Raw genomic sequence first — 10,025 nt, forward strand, 5'->3', positions numbered from 1 at the left:
AGGTTATAAATTCCCCGATAAGTTTTTACTTCTTTCCATCCTATGATGTATGAGTTTCTAAATCTTTTGATCTAAAAAGGACCTTAGCTCTATAAAATAATATGTGATAATGATCCTTGCTAACATAGCGTGATACATGGAAATGGGGAAGAGTAGACTTTTTCATCATCACGTCAACTACAGAATATATATACTGTTGGGGAAGGAATTTGCTTAGGGGCCTAAGTTATATGCATAATATTATGTAAGCTACTGAATTATTGTAAAGACATGATTAAAATAAATGCATGCAATTCTATTAAATAAATGAAGAACTTTCATAGATTGATAAACTAAGCTCTGTGACCTATTAACTGTATGAATATAAATACCCATTTCATTCCAAATAACTATATAAAATAAAGGTAAACCACAAACTATGGCATGGTCGTTTAATAAATTCACATAAACAGAGTTTATTTGGCAAGGCAAACTGGGATCGCTGTCCGCCAGTAGGTTAGGGTGAGTGTGATGTTGTACAATAAATGAAAGGTTCTGTGTGAAGGAGAGTGAGCAGGGTACAACAACCAAAAAGGCAAACTACATATTTGAAAACACAGCTGTGGTTCATACTCAATCATTTCATATCTCCAAGAGAATTCTTTTTACCAAAAAAAAATTGCATACAAAGGTTAGTTTAATTATCATGTGAATGTTTGAAACTCTCTGATATAGGAAATCTCCCAGGATTACCTGTCTACTAAACAGATTTCCTTCTCTTTCCAAATACATTATTGATCAATTTGGCCATTGATTTAGATCCACTGGGACGTCTCTTTTCTTTGAGTTTGAAGTTTATCAGGATGTCCTTGATAATTCTGATAAACATCATTTCCACCTCCAGAGACTGCTCTGCTGCAGACAGTTCACAGAATTGGCATCGGTTTTCCAGTGCCAGCTTTTGCCCTTCTTCCCAGCCAACCTCTCGCACATGACAAAGATCTCGTTTGTTGCCAACCAAAAACACTGCTGATTCCACAGCTCTGAAATAGAGATACACAATTTTTAGCAAGATTGTTTTAACAACTCTTTTTTTTAAAAAAAAAAAAAAAACAGATTTATAACCAAAGGATTATAAATCAAAAAAGAAAAAATATTGTGTGTATGTTACTTATGGTCATGTGTGTATACAGTTACACATAGCCCCAATTACTTAAAATCATTTTAGATAAAATGTAGTAAATGGCACAGAAGCAACAAGTCTCTTAAAGCACAGGAATTGAAGTAACATGGACCTATTATTGAATTCTGGTGCTGTCTACTAACCAAGTATGATTGTTACCTTTTCCACTTTCAGTTTCTTTTAATGTAAAAATGAGGTACATATTCATCATGGAATACTATGTAGCCATAAAAAAGAATGAGAGTGGCTGGGTGCGGTGGCTCACGCCTGTAATCTCAGCACTTTGGGAGGCCAAGGCGGGCAGATCATGAGGTCAGGAGATCGAGACCATCCTGGCTAACACGGTGAAACTTCATCTCTACTAAAAGTACAAAAAATTAGCCTGGCGTGGTTGCACGCACTTGTAGTCCCAGCTACTCAGGAGGCTGAGGCAGGAGAATCACTTGAATCCAGGAGTCAGAGGTTGCCGTGAGCCAAGATTGTGCCACTGCACTCCAGCCTGGGTAACAGAGCAAGACTTTGTCTCAACCAAAAAAAAAAAAAAAAGAATGAGAGCATGCCCTTTGCGGGGACATGGATGGAGCTGGAGGCCATTATCTTTAGTAAACTGATGCAAGAACAGAAAACCAAATACTGCATGTTCTCACTCATAAGTGAGACCTAAATGATGAGAACATATGGACACATAGAGGGGAACAACACACAATGGTGCCTATTGGAAGGTCGAGGGTGGGAGGAGGAAGAGGATCAGGAAAAATTAACTAACGGGTTCTAGGCTTCATACCTGGGTGATGAAATAATCTGTACAACAAACCTCCATGACACACGTTTACTTGTGTAAAAAACCTGCACATGTACCCTGAACCTAAATTCAAAGTTTTAAAAATGGTAAAATAATCCTCCTCACACAGAATTCTCACAGAGGTTAAAGCTCATGGAGATTGTATACATTAAATGATGTACATAAAAATACCTAACACAGGCCCAGGCAATGAAAGATGCTTACTAAGTATTGTTTTTCATGTTCCTTATCAATTGCAAGGGAAGAGCTAGCAAATGTCTCTTTACTTATACAGTTACTATAATTGAACAATTTAGACAATATTTTCATAAGCAAAAATATTATTCAATATTTATTGCTGTTTTTGCTCTGCTAATATCCATTATAGCATGCTCTAGAGAAAATTGTATAATCTCATGGACTTGTCCAACTCTCCTGTTTAAGAAATGTGTCTTTGTTAAGATAAAATGTCTCTGAAAATATCAGTATGTCTTCCTTGGTTATAAAGAAACAATATAAAAATAGAGTTTGAGTTGAAGAATATATTAAAATCACTAGGCTTTAAATGGCATAGAACACTGCAAATGTATCTACTATAAGGAAAAAAATGGGTGCACACAGTCAGTCTTCAACTCTTATTGGCCCTGATTCCACTAAAAGTTGGTTTCATTCAAATGACAATGTGTGGTGAACTTTTAAAAATGTTGCTAAGGTCTTTTTTTAGTCTAGTTTATAAAATTATTGAAAAGGGTAAATGAGGAAGGATATATACATGTATTTTCAAGGGTGGGACACAAATATCAGATATAATTTAATGAAATAGTGATATATTTTGCTTTCCTAGTCTTTTTACAGATTGAGAGCTGGGAATATTCAAAGGATTATCTAGTCAATAAACTAGAAATATTTCCTGAAAAATGTCCAATACAAATGTTTATACTTTCAGTATGTTTTTAAGTGTTCTTGAGTGATTACTCTGATTTGAAGAAATGTCAGAATTTTTTAGTCCTGTCCCTTACCTACACCATGATGCTTAAATATAAGATATTTAATGATTGAAACAATGGAGTTCTAAAATATCAGTAATATTATAGGAAGTAAGAGCTATGAGGCACCTTAGTAAAATCACATCTGTTTCTCCTATCCTGCTTCCACCAGTTAAATAATTAGAAAAATGAGCTCTAGAGATTAAAGTGGCTTACTTAAGGCAAATCAAAGGAAAGCAAGAATGTACATCATCTAACTCCAGGGAAATACACTTTATCAATTATTATCCATGATTTCTTTATAGTGGGCATTTAAAATAGTTATTAAAAGTACACATACCAATTCTCAGTAATAATATTGTGCTTTTCTTACTTACCAGATTAGAATACTATTTAGATTCTAAGGGCAAAACTGGTTAAAAGCACAAAGACTCTTTTACAATCAGCATGTTGAGCAAAAATAAATACTTTCAATGGAAAAGGCCAAAATGACTGAAAAATAGGGAAAACTAAAATGGAAAACTCAGATGCTTAAACTTTGATCTACTAATGAAACAGTAGCTTAAGGTACAATCATGTCTTCCTTCATAGTTCCTTGTGTCAAGACAATTAAGAAAAAGGAATTGTTGATCAGCCCTTTAGGAGGTAAAATGGAGAAAAATGTATTCTCATATTTAGAATTTGTAAACAGTTTGATTACTCAGTCTATTTTGCTTTGATAGATTGAACAACTCAGTGACTAGGAATTGGATTTCATGTGGTGCCAAACGTAATAAATCTGAATTTATTTAGTATCCTTAACATTTTTGTGAGAATGAAAAGAAAAGGTTGGAAAGATAACTATCTTATATACAAAGGACCATTATTTTGCAAGGGAGTGTCATGTTAACAATAGAAGCTGTCTTGTAAAATAGCCATTTACTCGGGGCAAGTAACTGTTTATGTCAGCGAGGATATAAAGCATTCTCATCTTATTCTTTTTACTACATGTGTAACTCCTGTGGAATAGGAAGGTGAATTGTTCAGGGCTGTTAAATTTTGTAATTGGAAGGCTGTATTAAACTCTTCCTAATGATGCTTACAGCTATATGATGATTTACTAAAAAGAAAGGAGAAAGGAATGAAAAATACCTTACCTTTTACAATGACTAGTTTGTGGCTCCCGGATTCTGTAGATCAGCGCTTTTGCAAAAGCAAATGAAGACCTATCACTGATGTCATACACAATAACAAACCCATCTGCCCAGTGAAGCTCACTTGTGAGGGAGAATTTTGCTTTCTGTGTCTGAAAATAAACCAAGTGCATTAAAAGTGGTGGGATCTAATACCTGTGTTTTTATACTTTAAACAGTTAACTAATGGAGACCCACTTCCGCTGGAAGATACATCAATGTGTTAAATATTGATATTTTCTAAAATATAGTTCTGTTTCTCTCTTATTGCTTTGTCCTTAATTAAAAGTGACTAAATGTAAAACAGAACTATAATAAAGTTATATCTATCTAATTTTATAACTTTTCCGGAAGAAAACATCTCCACTTTTTCAGAAAATTTGATGAGCTACAATAATTGTCTTTTGAATAATATCCACATATTTGTTGTGAAAATATATCATTTATCTGTTAGTAAATGGAATATCTATTGATTTTTGGTACTAGATTTAAATCAATAAAAATCAAAAATATTATAAGGGTTTAGCTAAAATATTTAAGATACATTTTGATTTACCTAAAATGATCTGTCTCATACAGTTGTTTTGAAACCCTGAATAAATGGCCACTTTTCTCTTACGTGTATAATCCCATTTTAACTGTTTTCCCATATGAATAGACAAGGAGGTTTGTACTTAAAATCTATTTTATTTATTATGTTCTATTGACAACTGGTTAGTTATAAGTGCAATTAGTGAAAATAAGAAGTGAATTGATAAGTCACTTATTAACTTCTGACAGTGACACTGTAACCTGATAGAAATATAGAAACAGCCTAATGTTGCAATTTTAAAGATATTTGTGATATGATCATTTTCGACATGAACTTACAGACGTGCTAGATGATGGAACTGACAACACTAGAAAGTAATCTCTTAAATTTTTGATAATTAAAATGAGAAGAAACTTCGGTTTTAACACCGCAACTTTTCACTTTTTTCACTTACCCCCATATAATCTTCAAATCATAATTGCTAAAAAATCAATCAATAAATAAATCAATAAAAAAGGTGTTTTGTTTTACTTACTTGAGAACAAGGGTCATATATTTCTAGATTTAGTTGTTTCCTTTCCAAACACAAGTGCTTCTTATAGATAGATTCTGCAAAAATATGCATATCCACTGTCAGTATGAAAATACTCCAAACGTGAACTGATAAATTCAACCACTCACATTTTAGTGGAATCGTATTGTGCTCTTTTTATATTGCTGGTGACTGAAAGCATGTATTTGTTGTATTTACTCAGATATGTTTCTTTTTTTTTTTTTTTTTTTTTGAGCCACAGCCACAGTCTGTCTCTGTCACCTGGGCTGGAGTGCAGTGGCGCGATCTCGGCTCACCGCAAGCTCCGCCTCCTGGGTTCACGCCGTTCTCCTGCCTCAGCCTCCCGAGTAGCTGGGACTACAGGGGCTCGCCACCACGCCTGGCCAATTTTTTTTTTTTTTTTTTTTTTGTATTTTTAGTAGAGACGGGGTTTCACCGTGTTAGCCAGGATGGTCTCAATCTCCTGACCTCGTAATCCACCTGCCTCGGCCTCCCAAAGTGCTGGGACTACAGGCGTGAGCCACCGCGCCCAGCCAATATGTTTCTTACAAATGAATCTCACCACTATCTATATTCACCTACATACCTTTTTGCTCATATACTTATATTCCATCCTATTACTGTGGATGGAACATCTGTGTTTCCATCTAAAGTAAATCCATTCACTCTCAGCTAGTGATGATTTCCCCTCACCCACTGAAAGACATGGCTTCAGCAATTCTACTTCCCTCTTATATATCATAATTTTTTCCTCTTTACCATACAATTAGCAACATCTTACAAACATGAAAAATTTCTTCTAACTTAAATGTATTATGACTTAATGGTTAATTCTGTATCTTGATTTTATTCGCCTTATTGGTAGCATTAATGTAGTTGATCATTCCTACCTCCTTAAAGTATTTCCTTTACGTGACCTTCAAGGCAACACTGTCTCCAGTTTTTGTTTTTGTTTTTTAATTCCTTGTTGCTCCGTCTTAATCTTTTTTTGTTCACCTCTCCCCGCCCCCACTGACTTCTCACATTTCAAACATGGATCAAGTTCATAGGTTTCTTCTCTTCTTACATTCCTTTTCAGATCTCTTCTAGTCCCAGGCCTTTACATGCCAATTATTTCTGATGAACCCAACTTATGTCTGAAGCCCAGACCTCATCCCTGAACTCCGGACACAAATAACTTACTAATGAACATCTCCATTTAGATACTTGATAGCTATCTCAACCTTAACACACTTCAAGCTGAACCCCTGATATCCCTGCAAAGGCTGCACCTTCTACAATTTTCCATTTTGTTAAATGGCATATCCATAACTCCAGCTTCTCAGGCAAAAAACCCTAGGATTATCCTTGATTATTTATTTGTCTTATGTCACATATTTATTCTAAAATTCCTTTTTAGTCTACCTTCAAAATATATTTTGAATTTGTCTGTATCTCACCATCTCCATTGCTAACACTCTAGTCTCGACCACCATCATTACTTGCCTAATTTATCACAAAGCCTCCTAAGTCATCTTTCTGTTTCCATCCTTCCTCTAACACCCTTCCTGTTTCTGGTGTATTCTCAACACAGAAGTAAAAGTGAACCTTGTGGCCAGATCACATCACTTATCTGATCAAATTTCTTCAATGACTCCCCATCTCTCAGAGGATTAGGGTTGACTTCTTAACTCCTACCAGGTTATATTTAAGGAAATTTGTTACAGTTTCTTGAAACCTTAAATTATGTTTTCAGCCAGTTTCTTCTAAACTTTATAGGTTTATTCTTGACTCCAAACCACACTATTTCCTTCTAGCCAATTAAAACTATCCACTCTCAAATCTCAAAAACTGCCAGCAAGTGTCATCAATTCTCACATTTTTAGAATTGTATTATTTCCCCTTCTAGTTTTAATATACAAAGTGGAGTCATTTTTGCTAGTTTGCCCTCATAGAGTTAATGAGCTTTTGATCATTTGATTAGCTTTTCAAAAATGCCTCTAGGTCTTTTATTTTTCATCGAGAGGTAACAGCCAGAAATATGTAAACATTTCATTAATTTATACAACTATATTATATCAAAGTTTAAGTTGAGGGCTTTTGTTGTTATTTGGATAGCATATCGTTCTGTGTTTGTTTTATTTTTTAGTTCTGGGACATTTTCTCATGCCCGAGTCCTAACTTGTATGTTATGTTGACCTTTTTGACTGATGTCGTTGCCTTCACAAATGAAACAACAGGAATTTTTCTTTTTACGTTTTCAACTTTCTATAATCAGCTTTCAAGCTCTTGCCCTAAAATGTTCATAATGTCATAGGGACTGAAATACTATGTTGAATTCATGTAGGGAAAAACACAATGTAATATATTAAAGCTATTTTCTGAGATACTCCAATTATGCTACTTCATGATTGAATGCTAAAGATTTTTGTTTCTCATGGAAAAATACACTTGCAATCATAAATTCCTCTTAGTCTAAATAACTAATAATCAACAAAAACATTCTCCTTTCTCTCAATTTTTGTATTTTCTGTAATCTGCCATTCTTATTTTTTAAAAAAGAAAAAAATTCATCTCCTCATTTCATTTCTTCAATTGGGTAAGATATTAGCACCATTATATTGTTTAATTGGTGAGCCAAAAATATGCTCAAAATTATGGCAAAATTTCTCACTTTTTGTGTTGTACTATTTCCCATATATTATGCTAATTCTAGTCAAAAAACAGAAATTTATAGAAGAGTTCGAGAAATAATCTTAAAATTATATCAAAATGCCCCAGCATGTGTTTTAGAATTTTTCTACATTTATATAAATGACTTAGATAATGATAGGATATTTAATCAAGGCATAATTTTCCTATTATTTTCTTATGGTTTTACAATAAAAATAAACTTTACTCCTTTGTTAGTTGTGGTTTTAGTATTAATTTTCTCTTATTTTTTAAAGAATGTTGAATTTCAAAGTTGTTTTATACCTTACAAGAAATATTCAGTTACATCTTCTACAATATTTTGAAGAGAGGATCTTAGTTTTAATGTTTTTCCAGTTCCAGACTTTGAAACCAACTGTCTTACTTAACATCAAATTGGGTGAATTTTACCATAAAAGAACATTTAATTCAAGTACCTATTTTGGCAGTTCTAATCAGAATATGTGAATAAATAAATTGTTTCATATGCATAAAAATGGTATAGTCTATCAAAATGCATCTCTGTACTTAAGTGGGATTTAATTACGATGTTAAAAGTTTTAAGGTAAAAATGTCTAGAGTAGTGACTTACCAAAATTAGAAGCATATTCTCCAATGAATCGCTTAGTAAGAAACCTCACTGTAAGGGCTGCAAAGCAAACAATCTAGATTTAGGGCTGTTATATTTTAGGAAACAGCTAATTTGGTTATGTGCATAAGGCTTTAGTTCTTAAACCAAAAATATTCAAGAATTAATAAAGACTTTAAAATTAGACCAAATTCTGTTCTAAATAGTAGTTAACAATATTTCCATGGTACAAACAAATGATTAGAAAGTTAGAAAGGAAGTGATCTTAAAGTGCTTCACATCTAAATCACTATGCAGTTAATTCATTACCACAAAAACATAAGGCCACTTACCTTTTGTAACAGAAACAGATTTCTCATTATATTTGAGATGCAAGAAGTTTGACATCTGTTTATTTTCTCTGTCAAACTCAGTCTGGCTTCAAGGTACTATGTGTAATAGTCACAAAGACACTACCAAGTATTTGCAGTTATTTAAGGATGTAGGGACCTACAAATCCAGGAAATAGAAAAAGAACCTCTGGTATCCATTCATCATGTCACAGCTCCTGGGTTTGGCCAGTTAAGATGCTATGATTCTTTAGGCTCAAGTGACCCTATTGGTAGCATGTCACCATTATAATGTGACCGAAACCAAAGCAAAACACAGCAAAACAAAAGCATGACTTCCAAAGTTAGAGCACATTATTGCTCAGTTCCAGAACATCCACCAAGCCATGCGCCCCACAAAGTTCCTTCATCTTAGTAATGCTACATTTAAAATACAATCCACAAACCTCCAAACATCTCCCTACCCCAGTTTCAGAGCAGATGAGTTCTATCAAGGCCATTGTTTGGGAACTAGTGGGTATAAGGCAAGTGTGTTGAAGTGAGAAGTAGGTGGGATAGTGATGCAGAAATTTCCTGTTATTCCTATGAATTGTAAACATCAGTAGAACAATATACAAATTAACATTTCAGATATTTATCTTGCTATGCCTGCCTATATATTCTATAAACATACAGTTACTTACCTATAAAAATGAAAACTCCTAATGAAAGATAATGTGCCTATCATCCCAGTGAGATAATGTTATTATAGATATATTTTCATATATATGAAATATATATGAAATACGTGGTTAATGGTTAACATGTCAATGTTTCTCACTCTTTCTACACTCTATGATAACAGAGAAGATGTCACCACTCACCAGATTTGCCTGTTCCTTCACCACCCAAGACAGCAAGCTTCACATCATTCATCTTGCTTTTCTGCTTCTTGGTCAGTCCTATTTTCTGGAACTACACTGCCCTGTGACAAGCTTTTTTTTAACTTCCTTTTTATTGCTGCTCTCATTTCTCAACTCCGCCCCATATTCCTGCCAGCCAACAATAACTTTAAAAATGTTTTCCTAGAGTAGTTTTCAACTCAGTTTTCATATAACATTTAAAAAAAAAACTGGAGTTACTGTTTAGACACAAAGGCTTATGAAGAAAATATGTATATATTTATAACAGAACCTTAGTTTACAAGTCTCTATTTTTGTGTACCTGGAATCTACCTTCTCCTAGGACCTAAAAAAAAGTATAATCTCTTTT

The 10,025-nt window shown here is 33.8% G+C and overlaps 1 protein-coding gene across 3 annotated transcripts; it reads right to left on the bottom strand.

Moving 5' to 3' along the window:
* On the bottom strand, positions 418-9,742 carry RERGL (RERG like). 3 transcript variants are annotated; one of them, NM_024730.4, is made up of 6 exons: positions 9,638-9,742; positions 8,778-8,934; positions 8,449-8,505; positions 5,169-5,242; positions 4,066-4,214; positions 418-1,022 (listed from the first exon to the last, which is right to left on the bottom strand). In NM_024730.4, the coding sequence occupies exons 2-6, from the start codon at positions 8,830-8,832 to the stop codon at positions 740-742; spliced, it is 618 nt and encodes a 205-aa protein (NP_079006.1). In that variant the 5' UTR covers positions 8,833-8,934; positions 9,638-9,742; the 3' UTR covers positions 418-739. The 3 variants fall into 3 exon arrangements, 2 of the variants coding, with proteins under 2 accessions (NP_079006.1, NP_001273130.1); NR_104413.1 differs by lacking the exon at positions 8,778-8,934 and having other exon boundaries at positions 4,066-4,111; NM_001286201.2 differs by lacking the exon at positions 8,778-8,934.

The sequence above is a fragment of the Homo sapiens genome, chromosome 12 (assembly GCF_000001405.40).
Source record: "Homo sapiens chromosome 12, GRCh38.p14 Primary Assembly".
Classification (NCBI taxonomy): Eukaryota; Metazoa; Chordata; class Mammalia; order Primates; family Hominidae; genus Homo; species Homo sapiens.

Excerpts from the sequence above, each read along its gene's own strand:
- RERGL (NM_024730.4), bottom strand. The coding sequence starts at position 8,832 with ATGTCAAACTTCTTGCATCTCAAATATAATGAGAAATCTGTTTCTGTT. Across the intron at positions 8,506-8,777 it reads ATCTGTTTCTGTTACAAAAG|CCCTTACAGTGAGGTTTCTT; the intron begins GTAAGTGGCCTT and ends TTTGCTTTGCAG. Across the intron at positions 5,243-8,448 it reads AGAATATGCTTCTAATTTTG|AATCTATCTATAAGAAGCAC; the intron begins GTAAGTCACTAC and ends ATATTTTTGCAG.